Raw genomic sequence first — 21,415 nt, forward strand, 5'->3', positions numbered from 1 at the left:
TGAGAAAGTTGGAGTTTCTTTTCTATTCCTCAGGTTTTATTGCTGGAGATTTTAGAATAGGTGTCAGCCAGTTTGCAGCAACCTGTCTTGCCCCTACCATTCTTGGGTTCTGTATTCAGACCCCAGCTATTCCTAACACCCAGTTCATACTCCACGTTCTGTACAAAGCCATCCCTAGCTATCCCAGTCAGCCCACACTGGTCTCCATGACATGCATGAACCGAAGTTTTTAGAACCTTTGACACTTATGTCTGCCCTGGATGATTTGTTCATTATCTTATGTTGTTGTCATCCACAGAACAATCTGGAGAATATTCATATATTTAGTCAGCAAATAGCTATTTATTGGGGGCCTTTGTAGGCCTCAATGTTGAGAAGAAGGGTTGGTTGTTTTGGACAGATTGTGTATTTATAAAGCTCTAGCAATTTTTAAATCTCTAGCAGGAACCAAAGCCTTCTTGACAGCCACCTCTCTGAATTATTGTCACTAGCCTCCTTAGGAGAAGAGACAATATAGTTTATACCAAGATTTGCAGTTGTCTAGATATTACTCACTTCAGCTAGCACTGTGCTAGTAGATAACATTCAAAGTTGGTCTCAACAAATATTTTCTCTAGTGCCCATGGAGAGTGGCTGAGAAATACACTCTAAGATGTAAAAGAGTTTGGTATCTAGATCCTCTTTCTTATTCATTTCAAGCCAATATTTATTAAGCACCAACTGCAAGCTAGATACTATTATAGTTAGGAATATAAAGTGGGCCAGGGATGGTGTTTATGCCTATAATCCCAGCACTTTGGGAGGCCAAGGCAGGAGGATTACTTGAGGCCAGGAATTCAAGGTCAGCCTGCCCAACACAGCAAGACCTCGTCTCTACAAAAAATTAAAAAATTAGCTGGGTGTGGTGGCATTTGCCTGTAGCCCTAGCTACTCAAGAGGCTGAGGTGGGAGGATTGCTTGAGCCCAGGGGTTGGAGGCTGCAGTGCGCTATGATGGTGCCATTGAAAACAAAAACAAAAACCAACCAACAAACAAAAAAACAAACAAAAAGAAAACGATACTCAGTCTTTATAGGGAGGTTGGCCAGTCAATAGGTTACTTTATGAGTTGCTAACCCTGGTGAGCAGGAAGTTATGTGGACCAGGAGAGAAACCCTTGGTTCAGCCTGGAGAAAGGAGAGGTTGACCCTAAACTGGAGGGTGGAGAGGACCCTGTTGTGACTCTCCGACTGACTTGTCTTCCTTGATGTCCTTTAAGCCGGAGCTGATTCGGGCTGCTGCCTTATTTCTGAGTTAGCGCTCTTAAGATTGGGCCTCCCAGTTTGAGGAAGGGGCGGGCTGCTGTCTACCTCTGTGAATCTGCCCTGGACCACCCCGGGAGAGAAGGAGGGCTCCGGGGAATCTCGCACATTCCAGGCAAAGGCTCCCGGGCCGCAGCCTCTGTGCCACACCCTTGGCCCGGGCCAGGTGTGCGCCCTCCTCGCTGCGAGGGGGAGCGGGCGGCTGCGGGGAGCGATTTTCCAGCCCGGTTTGTGCTCTGTGTGTTTGTCTGCCTCTGGAGGGCTGGGTCCTCCTTATTCACAGGTGAGTCACACCCTGAAACACAGGCTCTCTTCCTGTCAGGACTGAGTCAGGTAGAAGAGTCGATAAAACCACCTGATCAAGGAAAAGGAAGGCACAGCGGAGCGCAGAGTGAGAACCACCAACCGAGGCGCCGGGCAGCGACCCCTGCAGCGGAGACAGAGACTGAGCGGCCCGGCCCCGCCATGCCTGCGCTCTGGCTGGGCTGCTGCCTCTGCTTCTCGCTCCTCCTGCCCGCAGCCCGGGCCACCTCCAGGAGGGAAGGTGAGTCGGCTTCCACAAGGAAACATCTCAGCCCTGGGCTGAGAATCTGCCTTTCTCTGCAGACCGTGATGGCTGAACGTACCTCCGAGGATTCCCACTTTGTCCAGAAACTTGTTAGAGCTCCCTTCTCCTCCCCTATCTGGGGCTCCTCCAGAGACGGATTTTAAATGAGACTAATATATAAAGCTATCTGCTTTTTAAAAATAGTAAGACAATAAGCTGTGACAAAAGAGGGTCTTCCTTACCTTAAAAATGTTCCTTCTTGATGTCTTTTTTCGACCAAGGGGCCGCTATTTAATCAATAATGTGTTGTTATATACGTTCTTTCCCCAGCGTGTGCTTTTATTAAAAGGTTTTGGTGGCAATGTTTCCCATGACTGTGAACACCACAAAGATTGCAAAGGAACCTCTTCAATAATCCTGTAATTGATGTTTCAAATTTCGGATGGAAAAATGAGCCTTAATAGTATTAGCAATACCCTTAACTTTTGCATCACGTTACTTTTCATAGTATTTTCATGTAATATTCATTCAACAGGCACTTACTGGGCACCTGTGTCATATATCATTTGATCTTATCTAGGGCACCTAGTTGGCTGTCATGTGTTAGACGTTAAGTTCATGTAAACAAAACTTTGTGAGAACCTAGCAACTCTTAACTGTAAGCATGTGTCAGCTATGGCAACATTTTATGGGTGTTTTCCTTGTCACTTAGTTCTATGGATATATGCCTGTATAATTGCCCTGATGTTTTATGTTTATATTGCATCCTGCATCTGATGGCGTTTCAATCATTCTTTCAATAGGTCCAAGACCAAGAGCCATTTCCACACAAGTGCATGCATGAATATGAGATAATGCTCACATGCACATGCAATTGTATAAGCCATTCCCAATATTATTGTGCATTCCGGGTGATGCTGGCCTGAATTGGATTTGAGTGGCATGAATAATGTTTGAGCATGTGTTTGAATGCAATGCTACAGTCCTTTTTGTCTAAAAAAGTCTTGGAATTAACTTCCAACCTATCATCTCTGACTACCATTTTCAAAACCATGTATGATTGCCACCAAAAAAAAAAAAAAGGTGGAGATAAGTATGTGAAATAATGAACATATTAATTTGCCTGACTAGAATACTATTTTACTGTGTATATCGAAACATCATGTTGTATACCTTAAATATATATAGTTTTAAAAAGTGATAAATAAAAGGTTCTGAAAATGGTCATGAAGGGTATGTTCTCTTAGGGCTGGGATAAGAAGTCTCAGCCTAATGGAAGACATCCCCAAAGTAAAAATAGTCTCTGAATATTAGAATTTAAAGGGACTGCTTATGGATCAACTACTTGGAATCTCTTGATTTGAAAAATGAGAAAATGAAAATGTGTTTCTCAAGGCCACACAGGCAGAGATGAAACTGGCTCTTGATCCAGGGGCTCTTAGGCTGGAGCTTTTTGAGCCACATTATAAAAGTAATAAAGGAATAAGATACATCTTTTATACATGATAAGTAATCATTTAAGCAATTTTCTTGTTGGCTATAGTTGAGTACATATATGTGTGTTAGCATTAGGGAACAAAAATAAATATATAGGATGCTATCAATGCTATTTTAATAAAATCAGGCTTAAGAGGACAGAGCTAGGATTCTCACTTCTTAAAGACATACCAGCTTCTGGGCATCCATCTACCCCAAGAAGTCAGAAATACCACTGAGGCTCATTGCCACTTTCCCCTTCCCTGGAGGCAGACTAAGGTTTTATTCTCCCTCCTCAGAGGCCTTCATTTTTGGATTCAATGGGAATGTGAAGTTTGTTGCCAGGGTAGAACACACATGCTTTTTCATTCATGGGATGCTGGGATGTGCTAGAAGTTGGACTGAAAATATGGTATCTGCCATGTCTCAAAGTGACCGTGTCTGAGTGTCCTGTGGGCTGCACATATGAGAACCTAAAGCAGTGATGTTGCTTCCTGGTTGTTTCCTTGCAGTAGAAATTATGGCAATAGATGAAATTGGCAAGACTTCAGGGTTGGGCTCAGCTAAAGCACAGGCTTTAGAGTCAGCCTGACCTGGCTTTACATTTTGGTTCATTCACTTACTAGTTCCTTATTAGTAATACTTGGTGTCTGCTTCTTCATTGTAAAATGGAGGCAATAGTACTTCAACCTTGTAGAGTTTTTGAAAGGATGAACAATTACTGTAAAGTGCCTTAAAATGCCTGGAACCACATTTCTTTAAAAAGTCCAAAGCCAACAGTACAGTGTAGTGAATTCATTTGCCCAGAGATCAGAAAGACCAAGGCTCCCCTTCAGGATAGGATTGCCTGGTGTGAGATAAAGTGGCATGTGGCCCCAGTGGTCTGGATCTTAGTTCATAGCAGGAGGTATGACTGGAGAAGGATTGAGAAAGAGATAAGAAAGATACTAGAAACGTAGCCACCAATATGCTTGTGAAGGGCTTTATGTGCCAGGCTGTTCAGTAGGATGGTGCCCTGTAGGCAAAGAAGAGCTGTGAATGATTTGTAAGCAGGAATTAGTGTGACTGGATTCATGTTTTAGAAAGGTCACTCACTCGAGGGCTTAGAGAATGAAGTGGAGCTAGGGAAGCCAGATAAATGGTGATTACCGTAATTCAAATGAGAGATGATGAAGACTTTCATCATGGTAATGAAAGCAAAGAGGAAACAGATTACAGGGACATTTAGGAGGTGAAATCTAAAGAATGTGGTGATCCAATAAGTCTGTGTGTTAGGGATATGAGTATAGGAAAGTTGAGAGAAATAAGGAAGAGTCCAAGATGGATCCAAGGCTTTAGGTTTGTACATGGTTAGACAGTGATGCCATTAAAGGATGAGGACTATAAAAGAAGGATCAGTCTGGGCACAGTGACTCATGCCTATAATCCCAGCACTTTGGGAGGCTGAGGTGGGTGGATCACTTGAGCCCAGGAGTTCGAGACCAGCCTGGGCAACATGGAGAAACCCCACCTCTAGGAGGCTAAGGCAGGAGGATCACTTGAGCCTGTGAGGGTGAGGCTACAGTGAGCTGAGATTGCACCACTGCACTCCAGCCTGGGTGACAAAGCGAGACCCTCTCTTTTTATTTTAGTTTAGAAGGGAAATTTGAGATATAAATTTGGGGGCCCAGAGGTAGAAAGCAAAGCCTTGACCACAGACGAGATTGCCTAGGATATGGAGGTAAAAGAAACCTCAGCACTTAAAAAAGAGATAGAGGAACGATGGAGCAGAATCAGGAGGAATGAGCACTGAGGATAGAGGAAAATCAAAGAAGAAGAGGGTTTTGTTAGTCAAAGGAAGACTGTCAGCAACATGGCAGTAATAACTGGTGTTCAGATATCCAAATGTGTATATACAAAGAATGAGGACTATCACTGCTGGATTTAGCCGTCAGGTGAGTTTTGAAGCAATTGTTCTTCCAGAACGGCGAATTCAGAATCCATGATTATCATAGATCACTAATTTGGTTTTTCCCATGCCCTGATGCTAGAAAAAAGATGCTGTGGATAGTAGGAAGGATCCTTGGAAATGTTTATGCTCCCTCGTAGATTCTGTTATTTAAATCATTGAAGTGGTATAGCATCATACACAAAAGTGCAGGCTCTGGAGTAAGACTGCCTGGGTTCAAATCCCAGCCCTATCATGTACCATTGTGGCACATTTATATTTTGGGACTTGGGCAAGCTACCTCACCTGTTACTTAGCTCCTACATCTCAGAATAAGGATGATAAATCGATATGACCATTACACAAAAATCACTTTGCACATTGCCTGGTAAGCACTTAATACATGTTAATAGATTACTGTTATTGTTACAACTAACTGCCCTGCCAGTACTGAATTTGGTATATTGCTTTCTGTGTTTTAAGTGGTAACATTTTTGAAGGGCCTCCTTTTTACTCTCCTTTCGTCAGCCCAAGAAGGTGCTGAGGAGCCTTTCTGCTCAAGCAGACATGAGCCCCAAGTTTTACCCAACAAAACAGGAACCCAAAGCAGGTTGCAGTTTCAAGACTGGATCTCGTATCATTCCTTCTCCTTGCCTTTTTCATCCACCAGACCTCATCACACACAGATTCAGCAAATCTATTGCTTCTCAAAACATGCTCAAATATAAGATGACCCTACAAAGATCATCTCTCATTTCCCAATGGGAAGAACTTCCCCCACATTCAAAGAAAGGATTTGGACAACTTGATTATGAGAACATTTAGCAATACAGATGTAGTAGTCAAATGTCTCTTTATGTTTAATTTAGTAAATTAATTACACAGATATATTGAAAGTCACATAATTGATAAAATATTATACTTAGAAGTGTTGATTTGTTCACTCACATTTTATGAAGTAATTATATTCAAATTATATTCAGTTATATTCATCTCACCAGATGACTTGAGATACAGTACTGTTTGAATCTGTTTTTGATGTGGTCACTGGAAAGTACATCATTTTCAAAACATTTAAAAGATAGACAAATTATCCCTTAGTGTATATTGTGATCTTCACAGCATAATCACTCTGAAAGGCTTATATGCAACACCTTTCAGCACTCACAACTATGAAGAAATGCACCATTATGAGAATTGTTTAGACAGCTGGGCCCCTTTCTTACTGATAAGTCTCCAATACATTGATTGAGGTCATTTTAGCTTAATGTATCTTCCCCAAACAATATTTTTACAATAAAGTAATTGAGAAAGTACCCTATAATATGCAAGATTTTGAAAGGACTTAAGTATGATCTTTTTTTTCCTGAGGGATAATTTTGGAAAAATTAAAACCTCTACCTTATATTCAAGCATGTACAGAGATATAGAATTGGGTTGGAGGTGGGCTGGAAATTCCCATATGGGCTTAAATTCTGGGTGTTCTAAACTGGGGGCAGCCACTGGTTCAGCCTCACTGGCCCAAGAAGCTGAGAAAGATTGTTGATTTGTGATTCGTGTTTATGGGAAAGTCAGGGCATAAAGTTAAGGTGTTGAGAGAATCCTGGGAATATCTTTCCCATTTAACCCACTTAAGTTCTTAATGGTTCAAACTTACTGACTTTTTTTTTTTTTTTTTCTGTCCTAGAGAAATTTCTAAGGGCAAGACTTGAATCATCTATTAGAGATCAGTGTAGAGGGCTGGGTGCGGTGGCTCATGCCTTTAATCCCAGCACTTTGGGAGGCCGAGGCGGGCGGATTACCTGAGGTCCAGAGTTCAAGACCAGCTTGGTCAACATGGTGAAACCCTGTCTCTACTAAAACATACAAAAATTACCTGGGCATGGTGGCATGTGCCTATAATCCCAGCTACTCAGGAGGCTGAGGCAGGGGGACTGCTTGAACCCGGGAGGCAGAGATTGCAGTGACCCAAGATCATGCCACTGCACTCCAGCCTGGGCAACAGAATGAGATTCCATATCAAAAAAAAAAGAGAGATCAATGTAGAAATAGGAGCTCCATAGAATCTGGAATACTCTCATTTAGTCAGAAATTAAACCTAGTAGGTGACTGAATCATTACTGGGCTATGTTTTAATATAATCCCCAGATAGGTGATGTAATGTTTGAATCATGTCCAAAGCCAAAGGCTAAGTCTTTTCTGTCTGTGGGTGACTGTATGTCTGCATATGTAATTCCCCAAAAAGCATCTGCTTCTTTATGTCACAACCATGGAAACAGAAGAGAATGGTTCTTCCTCCAGCACTGATCTATGGAAGAACCTGAGTCTTTCCCTTCTGTTGTATCAGGTGAGGGGTGGAGATCAATTGGCCAAACGTATAGGGATCCTGCACTTATTCAGGGCTTATATTTACAGAATTCTAACCGCGTCTTTTTATTTATTGTGGGGATATGTATCTCCGCATTAGAAAAGAATCAAATTGCAGCCAAATCATTTCCCACAACTAACTTAAAACTTGGACAAATCATCCAAATGCTCAGCTGCACTGATGTGGGGCATTTCATACAAAGTATTTTATGTTTCACCATGTTTTTCTCTTATTACAGTATCGTAGAACTAAAATGAGAGTGGGCCTCAGGGGTTCTCTACAAGAGCCTCTCATTTTATGCATGAGAAAAATGACACCCAGTGAGGTAAATTAACTGCCCAATTTCTTACTGTTGGTCATAGCAGAGCTGGGCTCCAGCATGTTTCATCCTTTTATAGGTAGGAAAATTGAGGCACAGAAGAGTGACTGCTTTGACCAAGGCCAGATTTCAGTTACTAGTTTAATGTTCTTTTTCTGAGATAACTCCTTGGCATATTTCTCATTTTTCTTTTTTTGAGATGGAGTCTTGTTCTGTCACCCAGGCTGGAGTGCAGTGGCACGATCTTGGCTCCCTGCAACCTCCCCGCCTCCCAGCTTCAAGCAATTCTCCTGTGTCAGCTTCCCGGGTAGCTGGGACTTTAGGGGTGCACCACCATGCCTGACTAATTTTTTGTATTTTTAGTAGAGACGGGGTTTCACTGTGTTAGCCACGATGGTCTCAGGTCTCCTGACCTCGTGATCTGCCCGCCTCGGCCTCCCAAAGTGCTGGGATTACAGGCATGAGCCACTGTGCCCAGCCTGAATTTTCATTGAAACTAATCTTCAAGCTTGATGGAACCTTTATCTACTGTTGACATACCACCTGTATTTCTAATGAAGACATCTATCTCGTCTTTTCAGAAGTCTCCATTTGTGTATATGATTCAATATATTGGCCTTTCCTTTAAAAATATCAGAGAACAACAGGTTAAAACTAAGCACAGCTCTAGTTTGTGGGGCATTAACAAGAGAACAGATTTCAAATTACCAAGTTTTCTCTTCCTTTTGTTCCACTCTGTTGTCAGGTTATCATGCAGCTTGGAATTGACCAAGTGGCTCAGTTTAGGATCGTTGATAGTACTGTGATAAGACTTTCTCTTTTAGCAATCATTGTTCTTTAATGACTGTTGACATTTTGCATCTGTATATACGTAATCACGTCCAGAGATTATTTCTGTCTCCCTGCTACAGACCCTTGTAAGTTTTGGAGTCTTTCAGAAAGAGGTCTGTTTCATGGCCAGAATGTTGACCATGTAAGCTTTATACATACTTACTGCTGTTTCAAATCATGGCCCATTTTGCTCTTGGTAAAAGGATACTTTTTGGTAGGGGATTCCTAGTGTTTAAAAATCGTTTTTCATCCCAAATAGCCTGGCCTACTTTGGGAAGGCAGTTGATCCAACAGTAATCTGAAGCTGCTGCTCTTGCCCTATCCAGGCAGTTGTACCATGGTAGGAGGGGATCTTCACATTCTGAGATCTGCAGGGAGCAGGGGAGAGGCCACAGTGGACCTGGCATAGGAAGTAGTAGTGGAGAAACAGCATATTTGTTCAACTGAGATGCAAGATACTCCCTGATGTAGTCTTCATGGTCCAGTCTCTTCTCAAAATGTTTGTTACTTCTCTTTATGGATGTGTAAAGGTAGTTTGGCTCATAAGAGCTCATTTAATTCATTCTTCTGACTTTAGGCAATACAGTGTTTTTGTTTTTGAGATGGAGTCTCCCTCTCTCACCCAGGCTGGAGTGCAGTGGTGCAATCTTGGCTCCTGGGTTCAAGTGCTTCTCCCATCTCAGACTCCTGAGTAGCTGGGATTACAGGCGCATGCCACCAGGCCCAGCTAATTTTTATATTTTTAGTAGAGATGGAGTTTTGCCATGCTGGCCAGCCTGGTCTCGAACTCCTGATGTCACGTGATCTGCCCACCTTGGCCTCCCAAAGTGTTGGAATTACAGATGTGAGCCACCATACCCAGCCAGCAATACAGTTTTAATTCATCTTTTTTCTGAAAAAAAAAAAAAAAAATCTGTAAGTAAGATGCTATAAATGCACGCCATGCATATTTTCCCAACATTGCAAATGCACATGAATTACCATTGTTCTTTTGTGAAGACTAAGAACTATATAATGGTATGTAAGCCCACACACATACCTAAATGCTTGTATTTTTGTGAAGGGATGTAGTGATAGCAAAAAATCTTTGCCTAATCTCCTTGTACAAAAAAAGTATTGTTCACAAAAGCAGTAAGGATTTAAAAAGGAAGATTTATTGTTTTTTTTTAAGGAATCAATGAAACATAAATTTAAATAATTGAAAAATCATGGTTTATACTTCAATTATCTCCAAAAGGCATTTTAGTACAAATTAGAATCTCCTTTTTAACTTCTCTTTATTCAGACACATCATAGAAGGTTTCTTTCCTTTTGGTCCTCTTTGCTTCAGGTATTTACCTCTGGCATCCCTGGAATCTCTGATTCCCTTTATTTCAACTGCTTCTTAGAGGGGCATAGGATACCTTTTTCTAGGCCATGCAAGAAATGTCCAGAGAACACTATGCTCTTTGAATAACAGTTAAATGTCCTTTCTATGCTGGAATGCTTTTCTTTGTAGGTAACTTCACAGAAATGTATAACCCTTTATTTCTGTGGTCAGAAGAGTGTGGAGTTCCATGGAGGTGGTTGCTGTCATATAGAATCTTACCACAATCACTTCCTGAGTCTATGCTGCAGCTGACAGCAGCTGTCTTGCGGTAGAGCCTTTGACAGTGCCAGCTATAACTCTAATGTCCTCAGTTTGCCTTCCCTTTCACCTGTGAGCTTACTCAGACTGAACCCTCAGTTTTACCTTTACCCTCCACTCCTTTGCTAGTCAGACAAAACTTGGTGTCCCCAGTTTCCCTGTTCACTGGGACTTTCTTCCCCCTCCTCATTGTCTGCCTGGGCACTGGTGTCCCAGTGGAGTGTCAGGGGAAGACATCTCCAGGTGTGAACTCCTGATGGAGTCCTCACCAGGCTGAGTCATCTACAGTTCACACGGGTACATTCCCAAGTCTAGGCTGTGATATAATGTACTATGAACTCTCGGTGAAACAGGTGTCTCCTCTGAAGCCATAATCATTCAAAAGGAAATGGCAGTGATCTGAGTTTCACTGACTCTTGATGACTTTGGAGTATTCAGAGTTGAAAAAACTGACCCATACTTTATGATTCAAAATTGCCTGTGAGATTAGAGAACTGAGCTCTGTCATTCCTCTCATCCTAGCACTTCCTGCCTCAGCCTTACTCACATTGCTTGGACATTTAAATGTCAACTGGTGCCGTGCCCTTTATTTAAATGAAACAAATGGATCAGGCAGGATATGGTATCAGTTTTCTGGCTGTGGTGGCTTAAAATGTGGCTATGAAAAATTTGCAAAAGAAGCCTAAATTCAGCTAAAAGCCTTAGTGAGAGAAGTACCATTTCAGTTTTCTTATTCTAATTAGGGAACATATTGTGACATTCTTTAAGAAGATAAAACTAGAAGCAGATATTCACACATTAAACAATGAAGTTCAAGGCCAGTTTAAATGATGAAGGATTCAGATTTTGTTTTAAAATATCTGCTTAAGCCGACAAACATATTAAAACTTGGAAAGAAAAATTCCATGTAGGAGGTTTTAAAACTAGAAAAGTCCTTATAAGCATTTTCATCATCACATGTAAATATAATATAATAAAAACATTCATCTTTTCATCTTGAATGTCTCAGACTTGAAGACATGGATTTTTGCAAAGAGGATCATAGCTTCTGATGCCTTTGATATCAAACTGATAAATGACAGGTAGTATCTTGCTTTAGATTGCATACATAATATGCAATTTGAATATTTGTCATAATTATTTATTTTTGATAAAAATGATTTTTTTTTTTTGAGATGGAGTTTCACTCTTGTTGCCCAGGCTGGAGTGCAATGGCACAATCTCAGCTCACTGCAACCTCTGCCTACCGGGTTCAAGTGATTCTCCTGCCTTAGCCTCCCAAGTAGCTGGTATTATAGGTGTGTGCCACCACGCCCAGCTAATTTTGTATTTTTAGTAGAGACACGGTTTCACCATGTTGGTAAGGCTGGTCTCAAACTCCTGATCTGAAGTGATTCACCGGCCTCAGCCTCCCAAAGTGGTGGGATTACAGGCATGAGCCACTGTGCCTGGCTGATAAAAATTTTTAAAATACATTAGGATAAATTTCTATTTAAAGGACCCTTTCAATAATTGCTTTTGTACTGAGAACAACCTTTGCTAGATTTTTAAAAGTGGGTATATGCAACTGAAACTTTATTCACCATCTTCAGTATAGCCTTTTACATTTGGACTTCCCATTGAAAGACCTCATTATAGGTGACTTCATGGAGGCAACTGTTGCTATCTTTGAACATAAAAGAGTTGTCAGTTTACATGAGAGCAGTCTTTTGACTCAGAAGAAGGGAATGGTATCCAATAAGGTATATTAAGATTTAGTTTTTAGTGTAACTTCTTTGAAAAAATGAAATAGGAGACTAGTTGAGATTGTCAGCCCCAATTTGTGTCTGCCCACCATGATGGTTTTCTTTTATAAAGCAAGAATTTTAAGAAGCAGAGGAAATGAAGACATAAAATGAAGTGTATGTGAATGAATGGAAGAGAGATGAAGATGTCCCAGTGGTGAGCGTTATATGAAATTAGGCTGGAAAAGTAGATAGGGTAAGACCATGATAGTCCTTGTAGGCAATATTGAGGAATTCTGGTGCTTAACTTCAAAGGAAAGGAAAGAAACTACAGAATATTAAGCAGAGAAGCCATGATACAATTTGTATTTTGGAAAGATTTTCTGATTGCTGAGTGGAGGGAAGCAAAAGAAGTTGCAGGGAATTCAGCTAAGAAGTGATGGCAGGCAAGAGATGATTGAGGTTTGGTCTAGATATGGCTATAGTGGAGATGGACTTGATTGGATTTGAGATATTTAGTGGGTTATATCAACAAAATTCAGTGTTAAATAGGCAGGTGAGAAAGATGGAGAACCTGTAAGGATAGCTTCCAGCTTTCCGACTTGAAGGCATGGCAATCATAAGTTTGGTTTTAAACAGGTTTTGTGTAAAGAACTTTTGAGATAACCAATTGGAAATGTAAAGTGAGCTGGGCGCAGTGACTCGTGCCTGTAATCCCAACACTTTGGGACGGTGAGGTGGGCAAATCACTTGAGATCAGGAGTTCGAGACCAACCTGGCAAACAAGGTGAAACCCTGTCTCTACTAAAAATACAAAAAATTAGCCGGGCGTGCTGGCGGGCGCCTATAGTCCCAGCTACTTGGGAGGCTGAGGCAGGAGAATGGCGTGAACCTGGGAGGCGGAGCTTGCTGTGAGCCGAGATCGTGCTACTGCACTCCAGTCTGGGCGACAGAGCGAGACTCCGTCTCAAAAAAAAAAAAAAAGTAAAAGTAATAAGTAAATAAGTAAATAAATAAAGTGGATGGCAGACATGAGGACCTGAAGTTGAGGATGAAGTTTGGGCCAAGGAAGTATCTTCGGATGTCAACAATTACGGTGGTTATTGAAGTCCTTGTCATGGATGAGATTACCCAAGGGAGACTCAGACTGAGACGTTGTGGAGATTAAGGAGCCCTGAGGAGCACCGACATTTAGAGTAGGGGTAAGGAAAGGAGCCAGCAAAGCCTTGAATAGGGAAGGTCAGAAGGCAGACAGACACCTGGCAGTATGACATCATTGTATCCAAGGGAAGAGAGTTGCACAAAGGAAGGAGGGAAAAAGATTTGATGTCTCAGAAAGAGAATGAGGGACACATGCAGGAAAGGAAACACAGGGCACATCCCTTTCCTCTAAATAAGAAAGATAATTGAGCATCATCTTTTTTTTTTTCTTTCTTTTTTTTTTTTTTTTAATTGAGACAGAGTCTCACTCTGTCGCCAGGCTGGAGTGCAGTTTCGTGATCTCGGCTTACTGCAACCTCCACCTCCTGCGTTCAAGTGATTCCCCTGCCTCAGCCACCCCAGTAGCTGGAACTACAGGTGCCTGCCACCACACCCGGCTAATTTTTTTGTGTATTTTAGTAGAGACAGGGTTTCACCATGTTGGCCATGATGGTCTTGACCTCCTGACCTCATGATCTGCCCGCCTTGGCCTCCCAAAGTGCTGGGATTATAGGCGTGAGCCACCGTGCCGGGCTGAGCATTATCTTTAAATGGTTCATAGTTCGACTAATTCACGGGAGATTACAGGTCACATCATATAAACTTGCTGCTGTTTCACTGAATCAGTTTTAGTGCACTAAGCAACCGAAATGGTAGCAACAGCAACAAAGCACTACGTAATAGCAACCAGCACACACTGTCAGGTTTAAACATGATGCTCAAATTCCTAGCTCCTGACACCGTCCCACACAGCCGCCAAGTACACTACCTATCAAGGCTGCCTGAGCACTGCAAACTGATCTCATGCTCTGAGGCCTGCCTCATCGCCTTGCCCTCCTCCCACACAGCCCTAGGCTCGCTGCCCGTTGAGGTGGCAGGCAGAAAGCATTGCAGCTCTGGGGTCATAGACCACAGATGGGTGGGCAGTCCTAGGGTGGAAATAGTTCATCTGGTATGAGCAGCAACCTGAAAGTCCCAGACCCTTAATCTCATTGAAAATCTCATGTTCCTCTCACAATTCTTTCTGTTCCCATCTCACCATGGATTTTTTTGCTTGGAACATTAGTTTTTTTACACTGAATGTCATATATGTAGACAATGGAAACTTTGTGTAATGTATTGGGGAAATTTGAAAGTAGGCTTCTGGACGTCAGGGAGATTTCTGTATGTTCAGGTTCTTGTTGGCTTTTCTTTTTTTTTTTTTTTTTTTTTTTTTGAGACAGAGTCTCGTACTGTCACCTAGGCTGGAGTGCAGTGGCACCATCTTGGCTCACTGCAACCTCCGCCTCCCAGGTTAAAGGATTCTCCTGCCTCAGCCTCCCAAGTAGCTGGGACTACAGGCTTGCACCACCACACCCAGCTAATTTTTGTATTTTTAGTAGAGATGGGGTTTCACTATGTTGGCCAGGATGGTCTTGATCTCTTAATCTCGTGATCCACCCACCTCGGCCTCCCAAAGTGCTGGGATTACAGACTTTTCTTAGAGTCAGACTGCCTATATTCCTTCCTTCCTTTCTCCTTCCTTCCTTCCTTCCTTCTTTCCTTCCTTCCTCCCTCCCTCTCTTTCTTCCTTCCTTCCCTCCCTCATTCCCTCCCTCAATTCCTTTCTCTCTCCTTCTATCCATCATGCTATCCACCATCTTTCCATCCATCCATCCATCCAAGCACTGCATTAGGTACAGTGGGGATATAAGGTGAGAAATGCTGTAGAAGAAGTAAGTCATAGACATAAACAGTGATGACACAGGATAGAACGAGGCAAATGCTGAGAGAGGTGAGGATGAAGTGCTCTGGGCTTTCACGGGAGAGAGAAGCTGCCAGAAGGTATCCGCAAGGAAGTGCACAATCTGATTTATGCACCTAAAAAGAAGACTGGCTGTTACCTGGAAATAGATTTAGGGAGGGTGGAAGCAGGGAGTGCTCCTGATAAAGGAAATAGCAAGCCTAAAAGCCAGAGGTGGGAAAGGGTTAGTGCAGCCTAGATCTGTGCATTGGAGCCCAGTGAACTCTTGATGAGGTAAAGTTGGAAAGGTTGGCAGGGGCCACATCTGCTGAGTTTTGAAAGAAGTTTGGATTTTTAATTTTGTCATTACCGTTAAAGCACTAAAAAGCATGATGATTTCACAGATTATACAAAGACAGCGATTAGATCACCTTAGTGAAAAGCAGAGCATGTTTTTCAGTTTAGAACAATAGAAAGAGGGCCGGGCGCGGTGGCTCAGGCCTGTAATCCCAGCACTTTGGGAGGCCGAGGCAGGCAAATCACCTGAGGTCAGGAGTTCAAGACCAGCCTGGCCAACATAGTGAAACCCTATCTCTAATAAACATACAAAATCAGCCGGGCATGGTGGTGGGTGCCTGTAATCCCAGCTACTCGAGAGGCTGAGGCAGGAGAATCACTTGAACCTGGGAGGCAGAGGTTGCAGCAAGCCAAGATCGCGCCACTGCACTCCAGCCTGGGCGACAGAACGAGACTCTGTTTCAAAAAAAAAAAGAACATTAGAAAGAGGACCTGCTTATAGAAACACAATCATATGTATGCCAAGTGATTGAAATTTCTCGTAATTGTATGCCTCAAAAGGGCACTGTTTCTTATGGGAAATTTAAAATGAGATCCCGATGAACTGCTACTACTGATGATGATTATTTCAAGGCCTTGTCCTGCGTACAACCTGAGGAAATATTTTCTGTTTCCTTTTATTCTCCTAAGGCCACAGCTGGGAAACCGCCTTTGCCCCTTTGCTTCCTGTCCTAACCTGTTGGAGCTGCGTGTTTTAGTGAGGGGTGGGAGTGTTGTGAAGTGAGCCCGAGGGATCCTGCTCGCCTCACTCTATTGTTTAAGGAGGGGCTCCAGCTGCTTTGATCTGCGTCTCTGGGTGAGTGTGGGTGGTAGTGGGCAGTCCAGCCTGTGTCTGGCTGCCTGGCGGTCTTTCCTAAGAAGCACCTTGAGGGTCAGCAACTGTGTGCTATTATAGTTATTATTATAATAAATGCTTCAGTGCCAGAGAAGTAGCATACAGCAGTCAGACGCAATTACCATCCACGCACGCTTTACTAGACTTAAAGAAATCTGTGAAAATCTGACTCAAATGACTCCGTTTCAGATGGGTTTATGTAGGACTTGAGGTAAACTTGCAGAGTCTCATTTCTTTGGCTGTGGAGAGAATGCTGGCTGGCAGAATCAAGGATTTGGAGGGAGCTGGAGTGAGGGGGCAGAAAGAGGAGAGGATGAAACCTTGAAGAAGTGTCCCTGGCTTTGTACCAATGAATAGTCAAAGGAATGATGGATGGGACCTAGAACCAGAGTTCAGTGAAAGATGGAGAGAAACCTGCTTGTTTTGTTTACTGACCTTAGAATGGCTTCAGATCTGTTCAGGGTTTGAGTCTGATTTTTTAAATTTTATTTTCCGATGATGTGCAATATCTTAATGCCAGATCCCGAACCCATACCTGGGTTCCAACACACAAATCCTTGCATGAGCTCTAGAATATACTGAGCTTTTTCCCACCTTGGGCTTTTAGGCTTGCTCTTTCCTTTGTCAGGGGCACTCCCTGCTTCCACCCTCCCTAACTCCATTTCCCCATAACAGCCAGTCTTCTTTTTAGATGCATACATCAGATCATGCACTGATTCCTGTTCAAGTAGGAAAACATGGATAATATGATACATGCTTGACACAGGCAAATATCTTTGGAAAAATAAAACATTAGCAACCCCCTTGGCTGGGTGCGGTGGCTCACGCCTGTAATCCCAACACTTTGGGAGGCTGAGGCAGGTGGATCACTTGAGGTCAGGAGTTCACAGCCTGGCCAACAGGGTGAAACCCTGTCTCTACTAGAAATACTAAAATATTCCATTGTATTTCAGAAGATTATAAAAGCTCTAAGGTGAATTTTGAAGTCTTCATCAGCATATCCATATTAAAAGGAGATGACAGAAGCCAAAATAAAAGAATTATGGGCTGACAGGCAACTGGATTAAAATAAGCATCAGTTTCATTAAAAATGGCTAACTTGAAGATAAATCTTTTGACTCCAGCACTCTAGAGGATCTAAGGTGACCTTGATGGACAGTGGAAGAAATCACAACATGGAACTCCCTGAATAAAAATTTATTGACTTAAAAAAAATACTAAAATTAGCTGGGTATGGTGGTACATGCCTGTAATCCTGGATGCTCGGGAGGCTGAGGCATGAGAATCGCTTGAACCTGGGAGGTGGAGGTTGCAATGAGCTGAGATCACACCACTGCACTTCATCCTGGGTGACAGAATGAGACTGTCTCAAAAAAAGAAAAACAGCAACAACAACAACAACAAAAAAAAAAAAACAAAGAAAACCACACACACAAAAAAATTAGCAAACTCCTTCTTTGAAATGTTACTGGCTCATAAAGTCTGATTGTTCAAGCATGCAGTATAGCCTCCCTATTAGATGTGATGTTTATTAAATTAATAAAATAAATATACATCTCATTGACCAAGGATAAAAGAAGGAAGGGGGAAAGGGGGCTTAAATCAGCAAAACAAAATCTACCGATGAGGTACTTTGGAAATAAAGATGATTTATCAGGAAAGAGTAAAAGAAAATCTGCAATAAAGTGATACAGACAAATAGTTTGATGTATTTGTTATGTAAACAATTCATAAGAAAAACATTGTGCCATAAGAAAAACATAGATAAATGGACAAAGATCATGAAGCAGACAATTATGAAAATAGAACTAAAACAGCAAACTGGCATATGGCACTTTCTACCCTCCTTCCCACCCATCTTACTACTTCCCAACTTCCTATGCCTTTCCACTGCTTTATATATTTCTCCCTAACAAATACCACTATCCTAATATTCTCTCTTGATATTACTTATTTATCTTGTTTATTTTCTTTCCCCCCAAATTGCATGTAAACTCCGTGAGGGCTGGGACATCTGTTGGTTTTGTTTGCTACTGTATGCATCCCATTGCCTAGAACTCAGGGAAGGTCCAAGACAACCATCTATGGGTTTTTTAAAGTTCAACAGAACATTCATTCATTCATTTGTTTGTTAAAAAAAGACTAAATGCCTACCATGGACCAGGCACTGTGTGATATAATAGGGCTTCCTTTTTCCTTTTTCAAAAGCATGAGATGTGTTTTCTACCTGTTAGAACTGCAAAGTTGAGTGCAGAGATTTGCCTGTGGACACAGCTTTGTTTCAAAAATATATATTTTTTTAATTTTGGCCAAAATTTTAAAACCAATAGATTTCATACACAAAGCTGGATTTCTGTCTTCTTTTAAAAGAAGAGTTGATGTTGACTACAACAGGCATCAATTGCATGTGGCTGCAACTGGCAGGGGGTGAAGTGCTGCTTCTTACGCCCTTTGGGCAGAATCCCCACCACTTCCTGTTGCCTTACTCTAAGCCTGGCAGTGCCCTTTGGCAACTGGTAGTTGCCAAACCATGGTAGTAGTTGGGCAGGTATTGGTCACAGAATAAAGACCACATACAAGCTACATTACACCGTTTTATTAAGCCCAGTTGCAGGAATATTCTAGAATTTTAAATAGAAAAGTTGTTTCCTGCCCCCCGCCCCCCCTCACCCCTAGTAGCGAGAGTAAGTAATAAATGGTTTTAGGGAAGTTAGTCTCAATTTGGGAGATGGTTTGAGAGAGACCATTTTTCAAACACATTAATGATGAAAAGCATCATTCCATGCAAAAGGAGCTTGGAACAAGCTCTCCCATCATTTTCTTGGTGGGACCATTTCAAAGACTCAATACTGAGTTAAGTGCAATATAGCTGGGTGTTTAATCTCAGTGCAGCTTGGTAACTTCAAAGTCCTGCAGGCAAGGCTGTAGAGAGTGTCTTCACGGAGTTCTCATGCAATGCAGATACCCAAGGCCAATACATTCCCCAGACATGAGGCCCATACATCCCCTCACTCTAGATGGCATTGCCCTTGGCTTTAAGGGAGACCCATTTGAAAGGAAAGGGGTATGTTTGCAATAGGCTTAGAATCTGTTGGGCAGGCTCTGGAGGGGAGATGCTGGCTAAGGACCTCCATCCCTGGAACCGTAATGCAACTCCATTGAAGGCTGTGCATTTAAAGGACAATGGGGCAGGCATGGTAGCTCATGCCTGTAATTCCAGCACTTTGGGAGGCTGAGGTGGGAGGATTGCTTGAGGCCAGGAGTTTAAGACCAGCCTGGGCAATACCACGAGAACCTGTCTCTACCAAAAAGTAACACATTTAGTTGAGTGTTGTGGCATGCATCTGTGGTCCCAGCTACTCGGGAGGCTGAAGTGAGAAGATGGCTTGAGCCCGGGAGGTTGAGGCTGCAGTGACCCGTGATCACACCACTGCACTCCACTCTGGGTGACAGAGTGAGACTCTGTCTCAAAAATAACACAAAAGAAAATAGGCTGGGTATGGTGGTGCACACCTGTAATTCCCAGCACTTTGAGAAGCCAAGGTAGGCGGATTGCTTGAATCCAGGAGTTTACGACCAGACTGGGCAACATGGTGAAACCCCGTCTCTACAAAAACAAAAAACAAACAAACAGAAAAAAAAAAAAAAACCACTACAAAAATTAGTTGGGCATGGTGGCACACGCCTCTATTCCCAGCTACTTGGGAGGCTGAGGTTGGAGAATCGCTTGAGCCCAGGAGGTTGAGGCTACAGTGAGCTGAGATTGTGACACAGCACTCCAGCCTGGACAACAGAGTGAGATCCTGTCTCAATAAAAATAAAAATTAAAATAAAAGAAGGACACCTATTATTTTCAAAGTAGAGCTTTAGAGGAGGAGACAGAAGAGGGATGTGATAGAAAAAGATTATAACAAGTTTATATATTTTGAAAAGATTGCTCTGAATAAATATATAATGAGCTGCCCTTATGAAGTTAATTTTTACCACCACAAAGCATGTTCTTTTTTTTTTCTTTTTTGAGACAGAATTTTGCTCTTGTCACCCACAGTAGAGTGCAATGGCACAATCTCAGCTCACTGCAACCTCCTCCTCCCAGGTTCAAGTGATTCTCCTGCCTCAGCCTCCCAAGTAGCTGGGATTACAGGCACCTGCCACCACTCCCAGCTAATTTTTGTATTTTTAGTAGAGACGGGGTTTCACTATGTTGGCCAGGCTGGTCTCAAACTCCTGACGTCAGGTGATCCACCCTCCTTGGCCTCCCAAACTGCTGGGATTACAGGCGTGAACCACTGTGCCCAGCCCATGTTCTAAATAAGAAAGGCACAATGAAAAATTTGTAGTTATTTTGAGATTGCTTCCAAAAGGCATCCAGGGCAGGGAGGGCATTGGCTCATTGGGTTAGCCAGATGAAGAACCTCGCAAGGACTGCTGAACAGTGAATTTAGCTCTTGTACGTGCATAGTCATGTACTTGGTACAAATTTCACAGCACATGACAGCTGTGTGGCACATCTGTTGGAGATCCAAAAAATCAGTTTCACAAGCATTGGTTGGGAAAGATTCAGCTTGGCACTAGTTCTGAGAAAAGCCCTGGGACTTTGAATTGTGTGCAAATGTAATATGCTGTAAGTTCACTGAAATGTTAGTCTTTGCCCATGGGATAAAAATATCTAGTCCTGTTACAAGCCAAGCTGTTTAAATCACACTTGCAGTACTGGTCATATGAAGAAGGATACTGGAAATTAGAATTTGTTCCTAGGATGGTAGTCAAGAAGAATCTAGAAATTATGACATAGGAAGTGGTTGAAAGACTTGGAGATGACAGATCTGTAGTCCAACTTGAACAGGAAAAGACTAAGGAGGGAGATGCCATAGCTATCTTCAGATTCACAAAAGCCTGATGACGCAGGGCCCTTTGGATGTAAAACAACACCCAAAGATTATGTCTGTTGGATAAATAAAAGAATAAAAAGAGAGTAGGGGTGTGTGTGTGTGTGTGTCTGTGTGTGCCTGAGTGCTGTATGTATCTGTGTGTGTTGTGTGTGTATGTTTTCAGGCAAGAGCAAAAACACATGATGAAAATTACAGAAAGAGAGGTAGATTTAAAACACCATATAAAAATGTTACTGTTTGTAACAACCAAGCTGAATGACCCTCTATTAGGGATTTATAAAAAGAATGT

The 21,415-nt window shown here is 42.3% G+C and overlaps 1 protein-coding gene across 5 annotated transcripts in view, besides 4 other annotated features; it reads left to right on the plus strand.

The window, feature by feature from the left end:
• Nucleotides 962–1,544: an enhancer, noted in NCBI's record as "H3K27ac-H3K4me1 hESC enhancer chr1:183154684-183155266 (GRCh37/hg19 assembly coordinates)". NCBI's record gives its function as "activates a minimal SCP1, AML or CMV promoter by ChIP-STARR-seq in naive H9 embryonic stem cells {active_cell/tissue: H9 hESC(naive)}" and the evidence as "EXISTENCE:reporter gene assay evidence [ECO:0000049][PMID:30033119]".
• Nucleotides 962–2,246: a biological region, named in NCBI's record as "MED14-independent group 3 enhancer GRCh37_chr1:183154769-183155968".
• Nucleotides 1,047–2,246: an enhancer, noted in NCBI's record as "MED14-independent group 3 enhancer chr1:183154769-183155968 (GRCh37/hg19 assembly coordinates)". NCBI's record gives its function as "activates an origin of replication core promoter dependent on BRD2, BRD4, P300/CBP and CDK7 cofactors, and independent of MED14, by STARR-seq in HCT116 cells {active_cell/tissue: HCT116}" and the evidence as "EXISTENCE:reporter gene assay evidence [ECO:0000049][PMID:35650434]".
• Nucleotides 1,651–1,720: a silencer, noted in NCBI's record as "silent region_1628". NCBI's record gives its function as "represses an Ori minimal core promoter by ATAC-STARR-seq in GM12878 lymphoblastoid cells {active_cell/tissue: GM12878}" and the evidence as "EXISTENCE:reporter gene assay evidence [ECO:0000049][PMID:35858748]".
• Nucleotides 1,677–21,415, plus strand: part of LAMC2 (laminin subunit gamma 2) — a 72,705-nt gene continuing 52,966 nt past the window's right edge. For all 5 annotated transcript variants that reach the window (XM_047420358.1, XM_047420361.1, NM_005562.3 and 2 more), the window contains exon 1: nt 1,677–1,844. In XM_047420358.1, the coding sequence (XP_047276314.1) occupies nt 1,766–1,844 (79 nt within the window). In that variant the 5' untranslated portion in view covers nt 1,677–1,765. The remainder of the gene's footprint in view (nt 1,845–21,415) is intronic.

This window comes from Homo sapiens, chromosome 1 (genome assembly GCF_000001405.40).
Source record: "Homo sapiens chromosome 1, GRCh38.p14 Primary Assembly".
In the NCBI taxonomy this organism is placed as follows: Eukaryota; Metazoa; Chordata; class Mammalia; order Primates; family Hominidae; genus Homo; species Homo sapiens.